Raw genomic sequence first — 27,090 nt, forward strand, 5'->3', positions numbered from 1 at the left:
CTTTGCTGGAAAGCTGAAAGGCTATAGGAGACGTAGGGCGACAATTCAGAGTGATACTGCTGATGAGAAAAGCAAAGGTCACAAGAATCTACTGTGGATGAAATAAAAATGTAAGATCAAAAAGACCCATAGGCAGGGCCTGTGGATTGAGTCTTTCTCATTTTTAAAGTAACTTTTTAAATGGTACAACTGTGAGCCAGGCATGGTGACGCAATCCTGTAGACCCAGCTACTCAGAAAGCTGAGGCAGGAGAAATGCTTGAGCCCAGGCATCTGAGGATGCAGTGACCTATTAATATAATTGCACCTGTGAACAGCCACTGCAACTCCAGCCTGGGCAGCATGGCAAGACTCTGTCTCAAAAAAACCCAAAATGGTGTAATTTTTCTTGAACAAAATCTTACCCGTAAGCCCTACCCTATCCCAACTTTTAAAAAAGGAAAAAAGAAAAGGCCACACTGATGAATCTGTATCACTAGGCTCTGGGGCAGCACACTGATTGTGGGATAACACTTCAAGGTATATCAGTAGGTATGCATCTTGGTACTTTAAAAGCACATTTACTGATGTCTTTGCCTTCTCAAAAGTGAAGCTTTCAGTTATTATAATGATATTTTATCATATAATGATGAAATGAAGGGATATATTATAGGAGGCATATCAGATAAAGTATATAGCTTATATGTGAGAAGTTTGAGCTTCCAGCTAGGGTTAATCATAATCCTTGTAGTTTTGTTTTACTATTATAAAAAACACTCAATATACATCCATAAAGATACAGTTTAATATGTCCTGTCTTTTGGGACTGATGTAGTGGCTTGAGAACATGAAAGTAGCTTGTTAGTCAAAACCCAATTTCTCACAAAGCAACTGTTTCAATGCAAATTAGTACATAATTCATGATATAAAAATCTCTCAAATATATGAGATTAAAGTTTCTCTCTGAGCAGTGGGTTTTGCAATGTTAAGGACATAGAGGAAGAAAAAAAATAAAAGGTCATTTCACTTTGTTTCACACTCTTCTAAAAAAGACCACACATGTAACAACATTAATTTCCTTTAGTCAATGGTATAGACCGAAACACCTTGTTACTTTATTTAAATAACTCAACATTTAAGTTCTATTTCAATATCAATGGTAGAATGGTAATAAGAAATTGTGTTAAGTTTATAAATGAACTTTATTTGATGGAGAAACTAAGCATGACAAAAGATGCCGAAGACATCATTTGAGGTAAGAAGGTTGAGAATTTATTACATCTTCATAGCAATCCTGCTTTAGCACTTAGAGGTTGAGAAAGTCAATGATTCAAGCAACCCAAATTGATCAATTCAATAACAAAGGTGCTATATTTGTCATAAAGACAAGTAATTCCTTTGAATTTAATAGTTAGCTATAATGAACTCAGAGAAAAAAAATCTTTGTTTATGTCTTCTTCTTCTTCTTCTTTAATAAAAGCTAAGCGAGAACATCAGCTCAGGTTACCCAGGCTGAGATCACCTTCCGTTCTTACTTCGCTTTTAGATAGAGACAATACAAGGTATAGTGGTGACAATGTTTTGATCACAAATATTTAAGCTGCTGTGCTGACTCCTTTCTTAACCACTGATATGGTTTCGCTCTGCGTCCCCACCCAAATCTCATGTTGAATTGTAATTCCCAGTGTTGGAGTTGAGGCCTGGTGGGAGGTGATTGGATCATGGGGGTGCTTTCTAATGGTTTAGCACCATCCCCCAAGTGCTGTCTCGTGACAGAGTTCTCAAGAGATCTGGTTGTTTGAAAGCATGTAGCACTTCCTGCCCTCTTTCTCTTCCTCTTTCTCTGCCATGTAAAACATGCCTCCTTCCCCTTCACCATCTGCCATATTTATAAGTTTCCTGAGGCCTCCCCAGCCATGCTTCCTGTATAGCCTATGGAACCATGAGTCAATTAAACCTCTTTTCTTTATAAATTACCTGGTCTCAGGTAGTTCTTTACAGCAATGGGAGAATGGACGAATAAAGAAAATTGGTACCAGAAAAGTGGGGCATTGCTATAAAGATACCTGAAAACGTGGAAGTCACTTTGGAAACAGGTAATGGGCAGAGGTTGTAATAATTTGGAGGGTTCAGAAGAAGACAGGAAGATGAGGGAAAGTTTGGAATCTCCTAGAGAATTGTTACATGGTTTTGAACAAAATACGGATAGTGATATGGACAGTGAAGTCCAGGCTGAGGTGGTCTCAGATGGAGATGAGGAAGTTATTGGGGACTGGAACTGGTGATATATTTAGATATATTTAGGTTTGTAAATGCATTTATACATTTTCCCAACATTGGTGCTATGCTTTAGCAAAGAGACTGGCAGCATTATGCCTCTGCTCCAAAGATCTGTGGAACTTTGAACTTGATAGGGATGATTTAGGTTATCTGGTGGAATAAATTTCTAAGCAGCAAAGCATTCAAGATGTGGTCTGGCTGCTTCTAACAGCATATGCTCATATTTATGGGCAAAGAGATTATCTGAAACTGGAACTTATATTTAAAAAAGAAGCAGAGCATAAAAATTTGAAAAATTTGCAGCCTGATCATGTGGTAGAAAAGAAAAACCAATTTTCTGGGGAGAAATTCAAGGCTGCAGAAATGTGCCTAAGTAAAGAGGAGCTGAATGTTAATAGCCAAGAAAATGGGGAAAATGCCTCCAGGGCATTTCAGAGCCAGTCATGACAGTCCCTCCTACCACAGGCCTGAAGGCCTAGGAGGGAAAAATAGTTCTGTGGCTCAGGCCCAGGGCCCTGCTGTTTTCTACAGCTGAAGGACACGGCACCCTGCATTGTAGCTGCTCCAGTTCCAGCCATGGCTAAAAGGGGCCAAGGTATAGCTCAGGCCATTGCTTCAGAGGGTGCAAACCCCAAGCCTTGGCAGCTTCCACGTACTGTTGGGCCTGTGGTGTGCAGAGGGCAAGAGCTGAGGCTTGGGAACCTCTGCCCAGATTTCAGAGGATTTATAGAAACACCTGGATGTCCAGGCAGAAGTCTGCTGCAGGGGTGGAGCCCTCATGGAGAACCTCTACTAGGTCAATGGAGAAGGGAAATGTGGGGTTGGAGCCCCCAGAGTCCCCACTGAGGCATTGCCTAGTGGAGCTGTGAGAAGAGGGCCACCGTCCTCCAGACCCCAGACCCACCAACAGCTTCCACCACGTGCCTGGAAAAGATGCAGGCACTCAACGCCAGCTCATGAAAATAGCCAAGTGGGCTATACCCTGCAGAGCCACAGAGGCAGAGATGCCCAAGGCCTTGGGAGCTCATCCCTTGCATCAGCATGCCTGGATGTGAGACATGGAGTCAAAGGAGATTATTTTCGAACTCTGAGATTTAATGACTGCCCTGCTGGGTTTCAGATTGGCATGGGGCCTGCAGCCCCTTTGTTTTGCCTGATTTCTCCCTTTCAGAATGGGGGCATTTACCCAAAGGCTGTAGCCCCATTGTATCTTGGAAGTAACTAGTTTGTTTATTAGAGTATTATGCATCCATTACAAAAACAAGAGTTATAATCTTAGACTGGGAGGGATTTCCCCAAGGTAACGGCAAAGAAGAAAAATTAGTATATTAAAAACAAGAATGTACATAACAAATTTTTACATTAATATGAGGTATATGATCATGTTAGTATAGGTAAAAAAATTAAGGTATTTTAAAAGGTGACATTATGTTCCAGCTGACAGTATCAGGAAGGTAGACTGGCACAGCATGGCCTCGGCCTGTTTCTGTACAACCCAGGAGCCAAGAACGCTTTCTACATTTTTAAAGTGGTGTAAGAAAAACAAAGACTGTGACAAAGAGCACATGTGGCCAGGAAAATCTAAAGTATTTACTACTTGGACCTTTAGAGAAAAAGTTTAACTCCTACTCTCAAGGGTACCATGTAGGACCCTGAATCTTAACCAAGATGGAAACAAACCATTATAGAAATGAGTTAATTTGTTTTGAATTTTCTGTTGACTCTTTCTTCTTATCCAGCAGCATCCTTAGCTACACAGTTGCGACGGTGGCTTTTGATGTCAGTCTTGAGGACTCAAGAAACTATCAAAATGTTTGGATTCACATAAATGTCCAACTTGAAGATTCTACTTTAAGACTGTGGCTATGTCAAGAGATTGTTTGGGTGCGAGAGTATGGGACAGAATGGGAGGATAAGAAGATGGACATATGAATACAAGGGTGTCTCACTTGAAAATGCTGCATGAGGAAGACCAGTTATAATGTTGGCATTGGTCATTTTTGATACTTACTTTAGCTGATTGGCTATTCTTATCTTTTAGGATTAATGGCTACCCATCTATGAATACTCAAGGACAGCTAAGCAGTTAAAACAGGCATCCATCAGATGAGAAACAGTATTCTAGAATACCCTTCAATTACACAGATTTATTCTACACCTATTAGCTGCCTCAGGGTGAATTGAAGAGAGCAAAGATCATGCATCTATTACCCAATTCATTCAGAGAGAAAAGCAAGTCAAGGAAATTGACACAGAAGCATAATTGAGAGGTCTGAGGGGGCAATCATGGGGCAGTGCCTCTGAAACAGACTGAATGAGCAAAAACAAACAATGGTAGGTGAATATGGAAAGTGAGAAGAGGTTGAGGGGACAGATACCTTAGGACCTAATAGACCACTTTAAGTACTTTAAACTTACTATGTGTGAAATGGGGAGCCACAGGAAAGCTTAAACAGAGAAGTGATGTGTTCTGACTCATGTTCTAGAAGGGGCTCCCTGGCTGCTGTGTTCCTGCAGCACAGTTCTCACCTGAACATCCATCTCTTGGGGTTTCTGTCTCCACCATCAAAAGCTTTTCTTCTCTCTCCAGCTGGGATATTAGGTCTGGCTTGAAGGGCTGATGTGCTGTAAAGAAGGAAAGGACAGCAAAAGTTTTTAAGTTTGATGACATTCAATTGGTCAAAACTAGACAAAAAGGTATACACAGACAAGTGAGACTCTCTCCCACATCCCTTCCACCCTGTTACCTTCCACTCACTATAAGAAACTAACTTCATGATTTTCTTTTTTTTTTTTTTAAATAGGCTCTCACTTTTCTGCCTGTGCCAGCATGCAGTGGCATGATCACAGCTCACTACAACTGCAGCCTCAACCCCTGGGCTCAAGCAATCCTCCCACCTGGGCCTCCAGAGTAGCCGGGACCATGGGTGTGCATCATTATGCCCAGCTAAATTTTTTGTAGAGACAGGGTCTCCCTGCATTGCCCAGGCTGGTCCTGAACTCCTGGGTTCAAGCAATCCTCTTGCCTTGGCCTCCCAAAGTGCTGAGATTACAGGTGTGAGCCACCACGCCTGGCCATTATTTTCATTAAACCTTCCTTCTTGTGTTTCTTCTTATAAAAATAAGTATATATATAAAATATATATTATTTTTATATATTACATATATTTTTATATATATTATATATATTTCATATATGTATAAAATATATATATATTTTGTATATGTATAAAATATATATACATTTTGTATATGTGTAAAATATATATTATTATATATATTTTATATATAATAATATATATAATATATATTTTATATATAATAATATATATTATATATATATGTCTGTACCCACACACTGTCTATTTACTTATTTTACCTTATTTCTTACATGAATTGTAGTATACTATTAATATTCTTTTGGACATGGCTATTTTTAGGGAAAATCCCCAGAAATGGGTTGCCGGGGAAGGGTAAATACCTAGCTTTGTTAGATATTGTCAACTTCCCCTCCCTAAGGGTTGTATCATTTTGCATTCTTCCTTTCAACGCATGAATGTTCTTCATTCCCCACAGCTTTGCCAAAAAACGTATAGTGTTACGTTTTTGAATTTTTGCCAATTTCATGGGTGAGAAATGGCATTTCAGTATAATTGTAATGAACATTTCTTTTGAAATAAACTGAACATCTATTCATATGTATACATATTTCTATGTGTGTATATGTGTATGTATATACATACACATACACACACACACACACACACACACACACACACACACACCCTAGCTCTATGTCCTGAGACAAAGAAACATAGATCATAGATACTACAGTGACCATACCTAGCATCCAGACTTTGGCATTAAATACCATTCCCCAGTTAAAAAAAAAAAAAAAAAAAAAGATAATTCCAGAGCCAAGGCAAAGTAAAGATGAGCACAAAATACTGTTCTCTGCCAACAAAGTAAGAAAGTGCTCAAAAAAAAAATTGGGGACATGTTACAAGGTCACAGGAGCCAGCTTAAAGAGGCCAAACTTGGGACAATTTTAACATCTAAAAAATTACAGTAATAAACTATAAACCTTTAAAAAATTTCACAAATCCCTACAAATAACATTGAAATGATGCTTGAGAAGTGGGGGGCTCTTGTTGACTGCAAGTTTATGCCAGGTGCTGACTGCTAAATGGGAAGGAGGTAAAGTTAGAAAAGTCATCATTTTGTAACTGTCATGGTAAGGACCAGATAAGGCAAGATCATCAGCAGGTGCTTAATCTACAGGAAAATACTTGTGTTACCCGATGATTACAAATGGGGAAAAAAGCAGTAATTATATAGTGGGGAAACTGCATAACATCGTGACTGGGTAATCAAAGTTAACACCACCTTTGAGGGACAGATGACTTCACGTGCCTCCAGATGTGATTCCCTCAAAAGTGCACACTCTACCTACATAGTGTTCCTGCTGCATGGATCATCTGAATCTAATTTTGTGGAATCATTAGGAATGTTCTATTAAAAATAAGGGAAGAGGTGATAGCGTTCTTCAAAAATGTTACTGTCATAAAAGAGAAAGAAATGCTGTGGAAATGTTCTAAATTAAAGAAGGCTAAAGAGACAGAACAACTATACTAGACTCTAGATCCTGTTCTGGAGGGAGAAAAATATGCTTTAAAGAATAAAATTAGGCTGGTCGTGGTGACTCATGCCTGTAATCCCAGCACTTTGGGAGGCTGAGGCAGGTGGATCACCTGAGGCCAGGAGTTTGAGACCAGTGTGGCCAACATGGTGAAACCTCATCTCTAATAAAAATATAAAAATTAGCTGGGCATGGTGGTAGTTGCCTGTAATCTCAGCTACAGGTGGCTGAGGCACGAGAATCACTTGAATCTGGGAGGCAGAGGATTCAGTGAGCTGAGGTTGCACCACTGCACTCCAGCCTGGGCAACAGAGTGAGACTCTGTCTCAAAAGAAAAAATATATATATAAAATTGGCTTTATGGATAAAATCACAGCATAAATGATAGATAAGATAAAAACATTATATCTGTCCTGAGAACAGGTAAGAGAATATTCCTCTTTTTATAAAACAGACTGTGCAGTAAAGGAAAGAGTTAGTTTTGTTTAAAGAGAGATCTGGATTTTGCCTTTGGCTTCTGGAGAAGGTAATCGCTAAGTCCCTGGAATATACTGCCCGATTAGAGTGTCTTTCGTTTACCCAGAAGCCTTGGGCCACACACCAGATAGTTAAACAATGTGATTTATAGTAGGGGCTTTGAGCCATGTGGTATTAGCTTAACCTCTGGAGAAACTGGAATCTAAGAGCAGCCACCCAGGTGGTCAATCATATCTAGGTAACTAAGCTCCAGTAAAAACTCTGGACACCAAGGCTCAAATGAGCCTCTCTGGCTGGCAATGCTCCTTACGTATTGTCATACTTCACTGCTGGGAAGTCAGTGCTGTCCACAACTCCACGGAAGATGACAAGTGGAAGCTGACATCTGGAACGCTCCTGGACTCTGCCTCCTGGGCCTCTTCCCTAGGCTGACTTTAATCTGATTCCTTTCCCTGTAATGAATCATTAACTGTGAAGACAACTGCTTTCAGTGAGTTCTGTGAGTCCTTCTAGTGAATTATTGAGCCTGAGTGTGGGGCTCAGTACTCTTGGGTCTTGGGGACTCCTAATCTTGCAATTGGTATCAGAGGTGAGAGTGAACTTGGGGACTCCTGAACTCTGTATATACACTGAAGTATTTAGAGAAAAACGGCCATGGTATATTAACTTACCCTCAAGTCGTTCAGAAAAAGATATTATGACTATATATATTTTTTCATATACATACATAAGTATGTATGGAGAGGGAAAGAACATGAACATAAATGATAGAGCAAATAGGGTAAAATGTTATTAGAGGTGAATCCAGGTAGAATCTTGGCGAATCTATATGGGTGTTCTTGTCCTTTTGTAAGTTTTCTGTGAGTTTAAAGTTATTTACAAATATAATGTTTTTTTAAAAAAACCCCTCTAAAAAGTCAAGTTCATCAACAGTTACTGGTGCCCTGAAAAATAAACTTACTAACCTGGAACAACTTACTAAACTGTTTGATGGCAAATCAATGAAGCAGGACCATATTTACTATTCCAAGGATAGACTGGACAAAACCATCAGAAACATCTTGTCTGTGTTGCACGGGGATTATTAGGACTCTCGGGCACCTAATCTCAGAGAATAATTTCAGGGGCTTCAGAGTTTCTAACAATTGAGCACACAAAGACACCCCAGGAGGCTGCCATTGAGTAACTAAGGGCACCTATCCTCACCTACTAAGAGCAGGTTCCTGAAGTTCTCCAGCATCACATCTCGGTACAGCTTCCTCTGGACAGAGTCCAGCAGCCCCAGCTCCTCCTCAGTGAAGACCACAGCAACATCCTTGAATGTCACCATCTCCTACAATGCCAAACACATGCACACTAAGTTTACAGAAGAAGGGCAGTGCTGAGAAGGTGTAAAGGACTGGAAGCTGTTCTGGAGTCTGGGCAACTTGAGTCACATTTACATAGTTCTCTTCTGTTTACCTTCTGTAATGCTAATACCATTCACCAAAAGGGCTGCAAGAAAAGAAATCCTTGCACTTTGAAATTACTTCCTTTTGTTAGCACTTATAAGTAAGCCTCTGGAACTCTGTTGCACCCTAGGTTACCAATATTTTAAATTGTAATAATAATGTCATTTGCTCCACAAAAGCTTTAGTTCTAACAGTGACTGATGCTACCTGTTTCTCCTCATTTACACACACACACATCACTTATTTAATTTGTCAAATTTACAGGGTATCAGTCATCCTTACTGCTCAAATATGTAGCTCATCCTCTGTGCTCATCTGGAGACTGCTGCAGTGATGGGCACAGCTCTGGAGCCTGACTGCCTGTGTCTGGATCTGGGCGCTCTGCCCAATGCTAGCTCTATGATCTTGGACAAGTTTCCTATCTTCTCATTTGTATGGTGAAACTTATACCATACAGTCCTAGTAATAAAATGAGTGACCACATGTAAAGCATGGAAAACAGCACCTGGCACACAGTAAGTACCCAACAAATGTTAGCTACATTATTAATATTTTCATTATATCTTCTATCCCATTTCTGGGCTGCAAAGTAATTCAGAGAACTAATGGTCTAGAATATAATAATTTGATCCAACTAATGCACACTTAGTTTGAGGTTACCTATACGAACAATGTTGCAAAAACAATCTTTTGCATTGACGTTAACCTCTGGAATTCTGTTGATTATCTCCTCAAAATAAATACCAAAAAGTAACAATGGCAATGCTGAAGAATAATGACCTTTAAAGTTCTGAAATCATAATGGCAGGTGTTTTCCCAAAACAGACTTTCGCCTTCCATCTTAGCCTTCTTCCAAGAAAGTATAAATCATAGTCAACACTGGATATGAAAGCTTTTTAAAAAAATCTTTCATAATCTCACAAGTAAATTTGGGAAGTAAAAATCATTTATTAAAAACATTCTCACAAACTTATTGGTAATAAAGTTCATTCTCTTTACACACATTTGCTGTTCATCTCGATTTCTTGTTTTGTAATAATAATTCATTTGGAGGACACCGAGGTCTTTTCTTCCATGGACATTGTAAATATTTTTCATTCCACTTTGCTGTCTTGTAACTTTTTGCTGTAGGGTAATTTTAAATTTTTAAATGAACAACTGTTCAGTCCCATATTTCTTCTGGCTGCAGTTCTGAGCATAACAGCTTCAGCTCTGAATGCAGAACTCTGCTTTGGTTTGCTTTGCTTTTTTGTAAGTCTTTCCACGCAAGTGATATGCCTGAAACTCTTGGCCCAGAAAGCAAAGGCTTTAGAGTTGGCCCAATGCTTATCTTCCTGTATGAACATGAACCTCTTAACAGTGCAAACGACTCTACAGTTCCCCTCCAACAGTCATCTGGGGCCATGAATAGTGTGACAGATGCAAAGTGCCTATATATCCTATGGTATGACTAAAAACTTTAAACTAAGTACCTGTATTACTCTAATAAAATTAATACATGAATAATGAAACACACACAGACATACAAACATATATAGATAAACACATAGCTATAGGTACTGAGAAGAATCTAGCTCTTCTTATATAAGAATCTAGCTCTTCTTGTACAAAAACATCTATTTTTCCCCCAACCTTAGCTTCAATATAATCTTGTTAGACAAAATCATATTTTATGTATTCCACCTGAGACATCACTTAGGAGAAAATATTTTTAGTTTTGAGTCTCTAGAACATTATGGACAAATAATATCAAAATTCTCTCACACTGGTTTTTGAGTCAAGATTATTTGTAGGAAAACTGATACTGCAATGTAAAACTGCAAGAATCCTCAGGAACGTAAAAGCTTGTGAGTTGGAAATAATTTAAAGAAAAGGGCCGGGCACGGTGGCTCACGCCTGTAATCCCAGCACTTTGGGAGGCTGAGGCACGTAGATCACGAGGTCAGGAGTTCAAGACCAGCCTGGCCAAGATGGTGAAACCCCATCTCTACTAAAAATACAAAAAAATAGCTCGGTGTGGTGGCAGGCACCTGTAATCCCAGCTACTCGGGAGGCTGAGGCAGAGAATTGCTGGAATCCAGGAGGTGGAGGGTGCAGTGAGCCGAGATCATGCCACTGCATTCCAGCCTGGGCAACAGAGCGAGACTCCATCTCAAAAAAAAAAAAGAAAAAGAAAAAGAAAAGGGGGAGAGGGATAACAACAGTTTACGTCAATAATATTAGATGATAAAAATTAACTGCTAAAAATTAAGCGGATAAAAATTCAAAATTGTTATGTATTAATGCAAGAACAGTTATATTTAAAAAAATGACCATGGACAAAAACAGATTTGTAAGCAGGGTAATAAGGTGTAGGATTTTAAAATTTCTATTCTTCTTTGTACTATTATTTATGAAATAAATAATAAAACACATTTACAACTAAAAGGAAATTTTAGAAAAGGACAAAAACAAAAAGCAAGAGCCTGATACATAAATGATACTAAATGCCTGTTGTCATTCTTTACCCTTGGCAAAGAAGGGGGAAAAAGATATGTCCACTCACTGCAAAATGAGGTCACATGTAAAACGGCATAAATGAAAACCAGCTCACCTGGAATTTGGTCATTTTTCTCTTTCTTTTTCTAGAGAAAGGCAGAGACCTGAGAAGGCAGAACAGGGTAATACGAAAGAAGCCATGATTAAAAGGGAAACGTATCTTTGTGCAAATTAGAAAAAGGTGTCCCTTCCCCCAGCAGATGTGGCCACACACCGGCGTTAAGGAGCAGGTAGCATGGGTTGGATTCTAGCTACCACTTGGCTCTCCTGGCAGGGTGCCCGCATGCACGGAGCAACCTGCACAGCTGTACCCAGTAGCCTCACATGCCTTACAGCTCCCAGCATGCTCATTCTGATTCTGGGAGAGGTGGGAAAGGAGAGGTAGTGGCATGTCATGTACTGGTTAAAAGTGGACTCTGGGGACAAAATGTCTACGTTCAAAACCTGGTGCTACCATATACTTGCTGAGTAACCATGGTTAAATTCATGAACCTTTCTAATGTTTCAGTTCTGTCATCTGCAAAATCCAGACCACACAGTGCCAACAATATATGATTGTTATTAGGATTATCTGTGTGCATAGAGGAAACCTATTATAACTATACCAGGGATCTCTACTTCCTTGCAACTATAGAGATGCAGATACCATTCTGTATCACAAAATTGCCCTGGCGAATGTATTTTGTAAGACATCTGGACAGCAGAGATTACTGCTCTGTCCCGGGAAAGTCACCCGTAACTTCGGAATGTCTGTAGCTCTGGCTTCTTACTTTTGTTGCCACAGTATATACTATATACATCGAGACCACCCTTATGAAAAATGCAGTGGCTAGTAAATATTCTTCCTGAGCTCAGGGGAAGTTCAGTGGTACATCCCTCTTCCCACAGGGTACAACAAAAGACTAATGAAACCTGTGAGACTACTACATTTCTCATGTTAAACAAAAATGTGATCCTCTGTCTAGATATGACAAAATCTCATTGGTGATGAGAACACCTAGCCTGCAGGGTTGTTTGTGGGGCTGCGTGTGCTCCTCTGTGAAAAGCAGCTCAGTGCTTGACCCTGGGGAGGACTGGACACCAGGAGTTTAATTTCATGGTTCTTCCTCAAGGTTTGTTACTTTACTTTACTTACTGTTCTCAGGCAACATTAAGGCTATCTGTGGAAGAGAAAGAACTGAAAAAAATAAAAAAGGAACTGAAAATGAACTGTGGGTAAGGCAGAGCCTTCTAGCACCACCTCAAAGAGAGGTGCACTACTCCAGTAGGCACCTGCTCCCTCCTGCCCCACCTGGCCTCTGCTGTAGAATCCACAGGATGTAAGCACAACTACCAAGAACAAGTATGAACTTGGCTGCGTAATCAGCAGTAAAAGAGCTGAGTTTTCTTTCACTCATCCAATATTTATGGATTGCCTTCTAAAAGGGATACAGTGCCCAGATAGATGCCAGGGTAGAGGGTGCACGGAGTCCTTTGAGAGAGCATGGAAGGGCCCTCAAATCCATACATGATGATGGAGGATGGATGAGGATGGAGAAAATGAGGGCTGATCTTAATGTTGGAAGGTGACTGACCTATATTTGCCACTCAAAGAGAAAGGAGTCATCAGACTATTGAAACAGAATGAGAGTTAGTGGGTATCTAGGGCAAGAGAGAAGGCAGAAAATGTAAGAAGACCAACTCACATGCTTTAGAGGAACTCCCTCACTTAATCCCACAACCACCCAAGAAGTTGGGACAATTTGTAACTCTTTTTACAGTTGAGAATACTGAGGCATTAATATTTTAAGCTGCTTTGTCATTTTAGCTAGCAGAATGGCCAGGACTATTAGTCCAGGGTCTGTGTTCTCAGTTACTAGGACAGTGGCTCTTAAGCTGCCAGCTCACCGGTATCAATGGGGAGCTTTAAAAAAAACCAATGCCCAGACCCAAGTCCAGGCTCTATAAATGAGGATCTGTGGAAGAAGAGTTTTTATGAAATCCCCCAGGTGACTACAGTGTGCAGAGAGGATTGCAAACCACAGACCAGGACATACATAGAGACAGTTTGCAGGATAAGCCCATGCAATTAACCACTAGGCCATTTGGCCTCTCAAGAAAATTGTCAGAGAACACTCAAGCCAGGAACAGAGAAGGGCCTGGGAGCCAGGCCTCTTGATTCCCAGATCCCCATTTCTCTCTTTTAAATGATGTTCTTGGAGCTGTCACTAAGAGGAAGGAGCAGTAACATGCGCTGTGGGTGTCTGCAGTCACGCACTCCGTGTGAGGACAGCCTTCCAGTTTAGACCTCTCTGATCACCTTTATCAAGCAGGGGGTCACTAATCAGCCAAGGGACTTTGAGAATTCAAAAGAAAAGGGAATTTCTGTTAAATATGAAATCACACAGTGGTCATCCTATAGACTATTGTTGCTTCTTCATGTTTGATAGAATTAAAGCCTGATTATGTTCCTTTCTTGGTTAAAACAAGTGCATAGCTGCCTTTGGGATAAAGTCTAGATTCTTAGCAAGCCACACAGGAATCTTTCATGTCTGTCTGCTCATTTTCTCTGCAAATCTTCTCTCCCCTTTGATCTCCAGCCGTGTCAATCACTTGATCTCATAAAAGAGTCTCCAGGCCCTTGCATGTGCCACCCCTCCTGCACTCCTTTCTCTTTTCACTTAGAGCAGGGGTTGGAAAGCTTTCATAAAAAGGACAGATAGTGAGTATTTCAGGCTTTGTGGGTCACATGCTGTCTCTGTCCAATATTGTTCTTTCTTTTCACAACCCTTCAAATGTAAAAATCATTCTTAGCTGAAGAAGAGACACACAAAAACAAGCCACAGGCAATTTGCCCACTCCCATCACAGATCCTCTTAGCTTTTAACACTGAGCTTGTATGTGCCCCGCTCTGTGATACCTTTAAGAAGGTTTCGCTGAAGCCTCATTAGCTCCTAAAACCCATTTTGCCAGCCTAATGAAAGCGGAATGCTTTGGCCAAGAGCCCAGGCTACAGAATCAAGCTGCCAAGCTTCAATCCTGACTCTACCACTTACTGGCAGCATAAACTGACACACATTAATTAACCTCTCAATGCCTCTGTTCTTCATCTGTAAAATGGAGATAAACGTTGGGTTGTTATGTTATGTTATGTGAGTTCAATGCATCATAATATTAGAAAGTCAGTGTGAGTGGTAATAAAATCTGATCAATGTTAGCCATTGTTACTACCATCTTCATTATCATCACTATGAAATAAATCTAGAAGCTGCTCATTAGCTCTGGTTTGTTGCAAAGTATGTTTATTTTAGGTCAGTAATTAACCATATAGGTGTACATCACCCTTTCAACATTCTGAAAAATCTATTGGCTTCAGCATCCCACCAAAACTGATCAGAGATAAGGGACAGGGAATATTCACATCTTTTATTCTCCCACATCTATTTTCAGAAAATTTGAATATACTCTCACTGAGTTGAAGGTCCCCATTCCTGCTGCCTGCTGGAAAGCTGCACCAACCACAGAGAGTTACCAAATAATTCCTCTCTGCCAATCCCTACGTTTGGTAATAAGCAAATGGAGAATTTGACACAGTTCCCGCTGCACAGAAATCTGTAGCCAAATGGGAAAGACAGATCAGAAATAAGCAGCAGAAGCATCTGCGAGCTCAAAGACAGGTCAACAGAAACAATCAAACCTGAAGCACATGAAAACAATGTGCATTCTGTTGTTGATAGAGTGCTCTACAAATGTCAACGAGGTCAAGATGTTAATAGTATTATTCAGGTCTTTTGAATCCTTACTGGTTTTCAGTCTTCTTGTTCTACTGATTACTGATAAAAGAGTGTTGAGATTTCTACATAGAACTGTGGGTTTCTCTATTTTTTTCTTTTAATTATATCAGTTTTTCTTCATGTAACTGTTGTTTTGTAGGTACACTTTTAGGATTGTTATGTCTACTCGGGGAACTGACCCTTGGCATGGTGTCCCTCGGCATCCCTGGCCTTGGTCTGAAGTCTACTTTGATATTAATATAGCCACTCCGTAGTACAGCTCCTTTTCACTTTTTCACTTTCAAACTATTTATGTCCTTGTATTTAAATGGAGTTATTTTAGACCACATATACTTGGTTCTTGCTTTTTATCCAATCTTACAATATATTTTAATTGATGTATTCAGGCCATTAGCATTTCCTATAATTATTGATATAGCTGGGTTTCTGTCTACCATTTTATTATCTTTTTTCCTGTTTGTCCTCCCTGATTTTGTCCCTCTATTACCCCTTTTTCTGCCTTCTTTTGGGTTGATTTTTTTTTTTTTTTTTTTTTACTATTCCATTCATTGTATCTATTAGCTTTTGGCTATATGTCCTTTTTTTTTTTTTCCAGTGGTTGCTCTAGGGTTGTAATATACATATCTAATCTTTCACAGTGTATTTAGCATTACTGTTTTACTACTTTTTGTAAAATGCAGATGCCTTACCAACAAATAGTTTCCTTTATCTCCCCACTTTGTTTCATTTGTATATACTACTCTATATACACAAAAACCTCTAGCCAAGAAAGTTATAATTTTTATTTAAACAGTCATGCATATTTTAAAGAGTAGAAAACCAGTATTTTATATTTGCCAAAAAACTTACTATTTCTGGTGCTCTTTCATCATTTCTGAAGTTCCTAGTTTCCATTTAATATCATTTCTATTCAGCCTAAAGAACTTCCTTTAGTGCTCCTTTTAGCACAGATGTGGCATTTTTTCATTTCATTCCTGAAGGACATTTTCACTGGATATAGAATTTTGTACTGACAACTCCTTTAAGAATATTAAAGATGTTTTTCCAATGTTTTCTGGCCTCCATGGCTTCCCATGAGAAATCCACGTATATCTGAATCATTGTTCTACCAGATATATAATATGTCATTTTCTCTAGCTGTATTCAAGAATTTTTGTTTATTTTTAATTTTCAGAAGTTTGATTATGATGTATCCAGAAGTGATTTTCTCTGAGTTTATCGTATTTGGTATTCAACGAGTTTCTGGAATCTGTAAATTTATGTCTCTCACCAAATTTGGGCAATTTTCAGCTAGTACTTCCAAACAAACACTTCTCTCCTCTCCTCCTGAGACTCCAAAGACAGGAATATTAGACTTCTGATATTGTCCCACAGGTTCCGAAGGCTCTGCTCATTTATTTTTCAATTTTTTTTCTCTCTGTTGCTCAAATTGCATTTTTATACTAACCTATCTTCAAGTTCACTGATTCTTTTTTCTGTCATCTCCAGTCTGCTACTGAGCCCATCGAATAATTTTTTTTTACTTCAGATGTTATCTTTTTCATAAAACAAATCTTAATTTCCTAAGAATTCAAATCAAAGTATTTTCTCTAACTATAACAGATTTAAAGTAGAAATGAACAAGAAAAAATATCTGGACAATCTCCAAATGTTTGGAAATTAAGCAGCATACTTCTAAGCAACCAATGAAATTAGTCACAAAAGAAATTAGATGCAGTGAAGTGGAAATGCTTCTTAGAAAATAAATTAGAGCATATTTTAAATGGAATCAAGACTTAAATGCAACATATCAAAATGTAAGAGATGCAGCTAAAGCAGATATTATAGGGAAATGTATAGCAATGATGCATATATTAGAAAAGAGGTCTTAAAGGCAAACAGAAAAAAAGGACGTAGTAAACCTAAGACAGAAATCAATGAAATTAAAAACACAAAAACACTAGACAAAATCAAGCCTATCAAAATATGGCTGGGCCAAATCCAGCCCACTGCTTGTTTCTGTACAGGATGTAAGCTAAGAACGGCTTTTACTTTTTAATGGTTGAAAAAAATCCTGAAAAGATTATTTTGTGATGTGACAATTACATGAAACTCAAATTTCAGTGTCCATAAAGTTTTACTGTAACACAGCCATGCTCATTTGTTTACGTACGGCCTATGGCTGCTTTTGCATTACAGCAGCAGTGCTATGTAGTTATAACAGAGTTCATAGGTGGCACTCTCATTTCTTCATATTGTTGCTAAGCACAATTTAAACCACTGTGACTCAGCATTAGGTTAACTCAATTGGGTTAAATGCTGTTAATTGAACAGCATTTCAAGTAACATATGTATTGCTGTACCACAACATTTTAATTTTTGTATTACTAATACACACTCTTCAAGCCAAACACAAGAAAAAAAAACAGAAAAACAGACTTTGTTACACTTTGAAGGCACAATGGAGGTGAAATATTTTGTGAATGAATTAGATGGCAAAGCTTATCATGCTTATTGTGCTTCCTATGCAGTGACAACGTATCTATGCTAAACTAATCAAACCTATGTCAACACTGTCACGCTAAGCACTCATCACAATATTCTCAATTCACAATAAATGGTCCGAAAAATTAGAAAATTTTAAATAAAATGTCTCATCAGAGCAGAATTTCTTCACAAAAAAAATAATGAAAATGAGGTAGCAACTACAGTACATTTTGATATTCAGATATTCAGCTTCTATTTCTGCCCCAAGCAAGGAAAGTAATTTACCAGTGATGAATTAATTAAATCATGTTTGATTGCAGAAGGCAAAGAAATGTATCCAGATAAAATAAATTTGTTTATGATTAGTAGACTTTGGGCAAGACCAACTGCTCTAAGAGTTGAGGACAATGGGAACAACATTATGGTCCATTAAAATACAAGGGAAATGATTCTGATAAATTTATTTGGCTCTTGATTTCACAGATGTTACTAATGTTGCTCAGATATTGTGTATTCAAGGAATCAATGCCAAGTTTGAGTGGTTGAATGGTTAGCCTCTAGGAACAGTCGATATGGAACAACCACAGGTGAAAATATTACCAAAGAAGGTACAAATACTAATTCAGTAAACCTGAGGCAGTACAATCTGCTAAGAAGTGTTAAAATTGATAGTGGTAAAAGATATGTTGGAGCAGAAAAAGGCAGAGGTTGGATTTATAAAAACATGTATTTAAAGCCTATGGTTACTCATTGTATTCTTCATCAGCAGGTACTTTGCAGAGAATATTTTAATCTATCATGTGCTATTGAACCACTAGTGGCAACAGTGAACTTCATTCAAACTCAAAGATTTAACCATCATCAGTTGCATGAATTTCATGAGAAACAGAAAAATTCTGACTTGCCCTACCACATGAGAGTTCAATGTCTGAGCAGCAATGAAGTTTTATTGTGATTTTTTTTAAATCTCAGGGCTGAGACTGAAATATTTCTGAATAAGAACTTCCCTCAAGCATTACTATTGATATAATACTGAATGACATTGGAAATTAGCTTTAGCTGCAGACTTGATAATGCTTCTTAATGAACTCGACCTAAAATTAAAAGGCAAAACAGTACTTATTTGTGAAGCTTATAGTGTAGGAAAGTTATTTCAAAGACAGTTAATGTCTGAATCACAGGTAATGCTAAGCCACTTTACAAATTTCCAGTGCTGTCAAAAGTTAAAACAAGTAATATCTCAATTCCCACACAAATTTGTAGTATATATGTTATCTGAGCCCAAACTTCAGAATTGTAGCAGTGTTTTCAGACCTTGATGCAAGCGCAAAGGACCTTTCTGCATTTCAAAGTCCATTTCATTGTACACTGCATAATTCTCCTAACCTTCCATTGAAAGTGATTATTCTGAAATGTAGTGACATACTAAAAGGTAAATATCAAGAGTCTACAGTAATTCTTTAAATGTCTTCTGTATTAGTTTCTATTGCTGCTATAATAAATTACCACAAACTTGGTGGCTTAAAATAATGCAATTTATTCTTTATTAGTTATGGAGATCAGAAGTCTAAAATCAGTTTCCTTGGGTTAAAGTCAAGGTGTCAGCAGGGCTGGTTGCTTCTCATAGGAATCCATTTCCTTGCCTTTTCTAACTTCTAGAGGCTGCTGGAATTCCTTGGCTTATGGCTGCAGCACTCCAATTTCTGCTTCTGTTATCATGTCACTTTCTTCTAATTTTGATCCTTCTGCTTTTCTCTTATAAGAATCCTTGTAATTACACTGGGCCCAACCAGATAATCCAGGATAATCTACACATCTTAAACTCCCTAAGTTTAATCACACCAGTAAATATCTCATACCATGTGAAGTAACATTCATAAGCTCTGGGAATTAGGATATGGACATCTTTAGGGAGCCACTATTCAGTTTACCACATCTTTCAACTCATTGATATTCACAATTAAAATCATTTGCTTATGGATTAGTATCAGTATTTCATAGGACCTATTTGTTTAAAAAATTTCTTTTCAAAGATAAAATACATAAAATCTCATTACAAATCAGCATTAACAGATGAACATTTACAGTCAATTTTGATGACAAGGAATAGCAACCTTGAACTTCAATTAAGTTGTACTCAATCATTATATCTTAAATTTTGTCAATTAAAGTTTCCTCTCATTATATAAATACCTAAATAATAGTACTGATATTTCTAGTTAACTGGAAAAACTAAAATATTTACAATCTGGGCCTAAAAAAATAGGTTTGCTGGCTCCTGGACAAAATTAATTCAACCCACAGGCGGTTCTTTGCAAAGATTAGTAAAAATTAAACTCCTGATGAAGAACAAAAGAGAAAAGACACAAATTACCAAAATCAAGAATGAAAGAAGGGATATCACTACGGACTTAACAGGCATTAGAAATATAAATGAATTAACATTAATGAATTCAAAGTGATAGATGAAATGGTTTAATTCCTTCAAAGACACAAAACACAAAATACTGATGTGAGAAATCAAAGAGAAAAATGAAAAAAATCACTCAAAATTCTACATACTGCATTGATTTGTTCACGTGATGTTATGGAAAAGGCAATGGGGTTGGGGAGTGAACCAGGGGTTTCCTGGGGTTAAGAGTTGGGGAAGAGTTTGACTACAAAAAGGTACCACAAGGGGATGTTTCTGGGCGATGGAACTGTTGTGAATCTTGATTGTGGTGGTGAAGTCTACATGACAATGCAATTGTCAAAACTCAGAAATGTACACCAAAAAGAATAAATTTCTACTATAAGTAGATAAGTTAAAAAATAAATGTTAAAAAATTAAATAAGGCTGTTCTACAGGTACTTGTCAAACTTTTAAGTGCACAGCAATCACCAGCTCCAGTAAAAGTGAAGCAGAAAAAGCATTTGACAAAATACAACATCCACTCATGACAGAACTTTTGCAGACTAAAAATATAATGGAACTTATAAAAATGCTTTCCCCTATGATCAGGAACAAGGCAGAGATGTGTACTCTTGACATAACTATTCAACACTGTACTGAAAATCAGCCAGTGTAGTGAGGCAAGGAAAAGAAATAAAAAGCATACAGATTAGAAAGGAAGAAATAAAACTGACCCTATTAATACACAACATGTGTCTCTGTGGAAAATCCCAAGGAATCTACCAAAAAACAAAAATTTCTAGTGAGTATAGCAAAGTCAGAGAATACAAGGTCAATGCACAAAAATCAGGTGTATTTCTATACACTAACAATGTACAACTGGAAACCAAAATTTTAAAACAATATGATTTAAAATAGCTCTAGAAGAATAAATTATATATTATACTCGGGCATATGTCTAAACAAAACATGTATAGATCTGTATGCAGAAAATCATGAAACACTAATGCAAGAAATTAAAGAACACTTAAATGAAGGGACATGTTATATCAATGAACTGGAAAACTCAATGTGATAAAGACGGATCTACTGATTTTACATAATGTCAATGAAAATACCAGCTGAATTTTTGGTAGATATAAATAAGCTGATTCTAAAATGCATATGGAAAGGCAAAGGAACCAGAATAGCTAAAAGCAATTTTGGAAAAAAAGAATAAATTTGGAAGAATCAAACTATCCAGTCTTAAGATTTACTATCAAGCTACAGTAAATATGATATCTTGGTACTGGTGAAGAGATACACACATAGATCAATTTAGCAGAACATGGTACAGAAATAAACCCAAACAAGTGGTGTTGGGATGGTTGGTCATTCATATGTAAAGAAATAAAACCCAACTTAACCATCACATATTATAAAAAAAGTTAAAATGGATCACAGATTTAAGTGTAAAACCATAAAACTTCTAGAACAAGAGAAAATCTTCACGACCTGGGGCTAGGCAGACTTCTTAGATATGACATCAAAAGCACAATCCAAAAAAGATAACATTGATAAATTAGATGTAATTAAAATTAGAAATTTTGTTCTGCAAAAGACACTATTAAGAGAATGAAAAGACAAGCTACAGGCTGAGAAGGAATATTTGCAAATCACACATCCAACAAAGGACTTATATCCAGAATATATAAATAGCTCTCAAAAATCAACAATAGGAAAAATATAACCCAATGTAAAACTGGGCAAAGCATGCATACAGACACTTCCGCAAAGAAGATATAAGGATGGCAAAGAAACAATAACAAAAAAAGAAATATCTGCTGAACACCATTAGCCATTAGGGAAATGTAAATTAAAGTCACAATGCTTAGAATGGCTAAAATAAAAAAAAATAAGGAAAATACTAAGTGCTGATGAAGATGTAAATAAACTGGAACTTTCTACATCATTAGTGAGAATGCAAAATGGTACAGATACTACAGTTTGGCATCTTATAAAGTTAAACATACATTCCCCATATGATCCAGTAACCACACTCCTGGCTTCGTACCCTACAGAAATAAGCACAAAAAAAACTGTACATGAATGTTTATATCAGCTCTATTCATAAATGCCAAAAAGTGGAGGAAAAAGTCTATCAACCAGAGAATAGATAAACTGTGATACATCCATAAAGTGGACACTTCTGTTAACCAGAAGTAAACAGAAATGAAGTATTGATACGTATAACAACTTTGATGAATGTCAAGAGCAATTTGCTGAGTAAAAGAATCCGGTCTCAAATGTTAACATATAGCATCAGTTCATTTATACGACATTCTCAAAAAGACAAAACTATAGCGTTTTAGTGGTTATGGTAGTTGCCAGTGGTTACAGGTATGGTGAGGGGTAATTATGAGGGAAGACATGAGGGGAGTTTTTGGGGTGATGGAACTGTTCTTTTTCTGACTACGGTAGTCGTTATACAAACTATGCCTGTGTTGTAATAGAATTGTATACCAAAAATAACAAAATAGTCAATGTCACTGTAAAAACATTTTTTAAAAACCTGTTTTAAAAACCTGGAAACACAACCTCAGTTATAAGGCATGGTCTATAAATGTTGTTACCATTTCTAACAATTTGTTTCTTAGGAATTTTTTTAGATTATCAAAACATAACCAATCATTGCTCTTCAACTCTTCAATACTCTGAAATAGTTGGTGGATTATATAACCTACCAATATTAAGTGAGATTAAGGAATATATCCAGGGGTTATTTCTATTCTATTTTGATACCTAATTCCAATTCCACACTGCAAATCCTTGATGCCAGCTGTCTGTTGAGTAGCTACTCTAACCATAAACCCTTAACAACCTTGTACGATGTGCTGGGCACATGGAGAAAAGTATGACATGGTCCCAGAAATAGAAGAACTTTCAGTGTATGGATTTAGATAAAGAGAAATAAGAAACAAAGAGCTATAAGACTTAGGCAAGGCAAACTCTATACTGGAACACAAAATTCATCACCATCCTTCTCCAAGGTACAATTCTCTTGCATCCCCTAGCTTCCTCAAGTAAGGACCATTCTGTAAGCTTCAACGAATGAAAACCTTAGAGTAGCTGCTGGCATTTCCCTTTCAAAGTCTTGGATATAAGCAATTTATGATCATCAACGTTTGGCAATTATGACAATCAATCAAACGATATTATACTAAGTCGATGTTAGAGATTTGCTTTAAAATACTGAAACAAAAAAAAAAGGGACAGGGAGTTGATACAAGACTGGCAAATGTTAACAAAGGTTGAAGCTGGGTGACGCTTCCACAGAATTATTTTAGTCATATTACATTTGGCTATGCTTACAAATTTCCATAGTAAAAACTTAAGGGAAAAATAAAAGCTATGAAGCCTATTTGGTTAAACATGGGTGAAAATCCAAAAAGAAGTCTACTGGAAGAGGAAAACATTGAAATATTAATATTGTTACTGTTATATCTTGTGGTTAGCATAATTTTTTTCTTTTACACTTTCTATACTTTCTTAATCTTTTACAATATGCAATAATTTATATAATCAGAATATGAACTATAAATATTTCAAATAAAATTAAATTACAGATAATTTTAAAAAATCAAAAATTCAAAGCTTATTAACCTTGCTTTCACGGTCCTCTAGTAAAATCCAAATATGTGTTCTGAAGCTGATACTAAACACATCAAGAACTAAGGCAATGGATGGAAACTATTTGAATTCAAATCCCAGCTCAGGCTCTTACCACCTGGGTGACCTAAAGATAAACCACCTATGCTCTATGTCTGTTTGCTTATCTTTAAAATGGGAATGGTGGTACCCAACCCAGGCTCAAAGGGCTCTTGTGAGGATTAAAGATGTTAATTCATATCAAACTCTTAGAATGATCAGCACTAAATGTTTAAATACTATCTTTATTACTCATGCCCAAGTACTCCCTCATCCGTTTCTGCATTTATTGAACAAATATCAGCGCATCTTCGAGCAGAATTTGCCAGTGAATGATGGAAATATCGTCTTCCCTGAAAAGAAAGGATGATAAGTACTACTCAGGTGAGACTCCGCTGCCAAGTGCCAAAGGGTCATTCCCTCCTTCTCCCTGCAGCCTTTTTCAAGAAGTCAAGGCTAAAGAAGGAAAGGAGGATGGGGGAAATCAGAACTCCTGCATGAATTACAATGGACTACCCAGACAGCCAGGAGTGATCCTGTCCTAAAGAAAAATCTCTCAGTGATCAGAAAAGGGCCAGGGATACTCTGCAGCTGGAGCTCTGACCCCATCCTGGGTTCACAGAAGCTTTCAGGGAACTGAGTCCTTCTCAGAAAATTAAAAAGTGCTAATAACAAGAGACCCATCTTCTACCACCTGTCAGGCTCTGTTCCAAGTCTTTTTATTTAACTCTCAAAAGAACTCCATTAGATAGATACTAGTACCATTTTAAAGAAAAAGAAACATAGGCAGAGAGATTAAGATACTCGCCTGTTATTATACTGCTAGGAAGTGGCAGAGCTGGTTGATGGTCAGGGGAAAGGGCTGGGGAAGTACAGAACCCAGGAGATCCCCAGTCCCTGCGATGTAGGATCTTGGACCCCCGGCGCTAAGTGGGGATGCGCCAGCTGCCCCACACTGGAGAAGGCTCATTCAAAGATAACACAAATCCCGCCCTTCGCCGCAAGTGGATTATCCTCCCCTAGAGCTACTGCCCGGTTGCTACTGGACCCCAACAAAACGAACATCAGTATGGACGGAAGGAGCAGGAAGCAGGGCGGGGAGCGCTCACCTTTCTGGGAGGAACGAAGGCCGCGGCCTAGCGTACCTGGGGCGGAAGTGGCTCTGCCTACCGAGACCTCCTGGACTACGCTTCCCAGAATTCCCGACGGGATCAGGGAGACGGCCTCAGCCTCCTAGAGCGGAAGTTACCCGACTACACGGGGCTCCCAAACTACATTTCCCAGAATTCCTAGAAAAACTCTCCACTTATCTGCCTGCCTAGGACGCAAGTACCGGGTGCCAAGCTGAGAGCCTGGATGATATTTCACATGTGCCGGTCCCAAAGGAATTCCTTAACTCCCCCTTCCTGGAACCGAAATGCTTCCAAAGACAGAGAGCTCGTATATATATTTCTCTGTTTTACCCAGCGGACCGTGCATGAAAGGCGCCTTTCCTGGCGCGTGTGTCTCTGACCCTGTGGATCTTCTGGACAATTCCCGGAATTTCTTGCAGGGTAGCACTTTCCCTTAAGTCGTCTCTTTCTCGTTTGGATAGTCAGTATTTGTATAGTCACTATTCTCTTTTGGTTAGCCATCCAATTTTATACTGCTAGTCCAGTTCTACTGCCTTCCCCCTAGAGTTTGAATTTATTTTTCTTCAAACGCGACACAAACCCAAATAAACTCAACCAAAGCGGACTTTACCTACCTACCTACCTACTTACCAAGAAAATATCCCATAAAGGAGAGAACAGAGAAGCTTGCAATACAGGAAGAAAAAAGAAAAGAATTACAGAATGGAAGCGATGTGTGCGCTAAAAATGCAGGTACTTAAAGGAAATTGGGCTGATTTGTACTGGACACCGAATTTAAGGAATACAGGATCTCAACCTTTCTTTGACTCGATTACCTTTTTATTCCATTTTGGTGTGGACGCGTCTGAAACTGATAGTGCTGCTGCTACCTACCATAATGTGTTTGTTGCAAGATCCACAAGAACGTGGATGCCAAGAATCCACAAAAAAACAGATGCAACCGTTGATGAGGCCATAAGCAGAAACAGTAAATGGTTCCCACGTTTCCTCTGCTTTAACTACTGATGATGAAATGCAAGTCATAAGGCAAATAGAAGGGCTGTACTGATACAGACAAAATGTTATTATTATGGGAAGGGATAAGTCTCTTGTAAAACCTCGAAATTTTTTTCTTCTTTGAGAAAAATCTATCACCTATTTTCACCCTGCTCTTGATATAGCAAATATTGTAAGTTGTCTTATGGAGGACAGGATGATTCAGGGAGGACGGTGAATGGGTTGACTCAATCCAGAAAAGGAAGAGGAAAATAAAAAGACATAACGACCAATCTGTGAAAATGCTCACGGGGTCAGGAGATCGAGACCATCCTGGCTAACATGGTGAAACCCCGTCTCTACAAAAAATACAAAAAATTAGCCGGGCGTGGTGGCGGGCACCTGTAGTCCCAGCTACTCGGGAGGCTGAGGCAGGAGAATGGCGTGAACCCGGGAGGCGGAGCTTGCAGTGAGCCGAGATCGCACCACTGCACTCCAGCCTGGGCAACAGAGCGAGACTCCGTCTCAAAAGAAAAAAAAAAAGACACTATTAAGAGATGAGACTATTTGATTCTTTATTTAACAACTCCTTTCCAAGGAAATGTTTCTGAAAATACATACGGTTTACATATTAAAGAGGATCAATCTGATAATAGGGGATTTTTTTTTATAAAATGAAAGGAAATTTTAAAAATAAAAGGGACAGAATAATACTTTGTGTACTTCCACTTCCAGTAATAATAAAATGAGTGATTTGGAACAAACATCTGGCAGAGGAAAGATGAGCAAACTTTTTAAATGTCAAAAGGCATCAAAAGACAAGATAATGGAGAAATGGTGGGCCAAAATTCAGAAACACTTGGGAGAGTCATGCATTTGGGGCTACTTTTCTCCTGGGGATGATGGTCTAGTTTAGGATCTGAAAAGCCTAGAAGCTCTGCAGCACTTTTGACACCTATATGAAGCTGGGGGAACAAAAGATTCTAGCAAAAACTAAAATTCGCATCTTTTCAAGTGCACATAAGATTTGCACAAATTAGCAAAATGATACGGGATTTCAAAATACTGAAATACTAAATATGCTTTTGAATACAATGAAATTTGGCTAGAAATCAATAAAAATACAACTAAATGATTCATGTGTGCATTTAATAAATATTGTCTCATCTCCAAACCCACCATTCTTCACTCTGCTTTATGGGGCTGGAATGGGGGAATCTGCAGCCAATCTTTCCCGACCTCCACACCCCCAATCTGGTTCTGTGTTGGGCAATTATTAGCAGAAGCGTATAGGGGTGGTG

The 27,090-nt window shown here is 38.2% G+C and overlaps 1 protein-coding gene across 7 annotated transcripts in view, besides 1 other annotated feature; it reads right to left on the bottom strand.

Moving 5' to 3' along the window:
* Positions 1–27,090, bottom strand: part of ZNF112 (zinc finger protein 112) — a 40,665-nt gene that overhangs the window by 5,283 nt on the left and 8,292 nt on the right. Inside the window, exons 1-4 of one of the 7 annotated variants that reach the window (NM_001348285.2) lie at positions 24,791–24,845; positions 11,419–11,467; positions 8,585–8,707; positions 4,788–4,883 (exon numbers count right to left, since the gene is read on the bottom strand). In NM_001348285.2, the coding sequence (NP_001335214.1) occupies positions 4,788–4,824 (37 nt within the window). In that variant the 5' untranslated portion in view covers positions 4,825–4,883; positions 8,585–8,707; positions 11,419–11,467; positions 24,791–24,845. Of the gene's footprint in view, positions 1–4,787; positions 4,884–8,580; positions 8,708–11,418; positions 11,468–24,790; positions 24,870–27,090 lie in introns of those variants that run through there. The other 6 variants (NM_001083335.2, NM_001348283.1, NM_001348281.2 and 3 more) reach the window with 6 other exon arrangements.
* Positions 24,654–25,154: an enhancer, noted in NCBI's record as "H3K27ac hESC enhancer chr19:44860641-44861141 (GRCh37/hg19 assembly coordinates)". NCBI's record gives its function as "activates a minimal SCP1, AML or CMV promoter by ChIP-STARR-seq in naive H9 embryonic stem cells {active_cell/tissue: H9 hESC(naive)}" and the evidence as "EXISTENCE:reporter gene assay evidence [ECO:0000049][PMID:30033119]".

Source organism: Homo sapiens, chromosome 19, assembly GCF_000001405.40.
Source record: "Homo sapiens chromosome 19, GRCh38.p14 Primary Assembly".
In the NCBI taxonomy this organism is placed as follows: domain Eukaryota; kingdom Metazoa; phylum Chordata; class Mammalia; order Primates; family Hominidae; genus Homo; species Homo sapiens.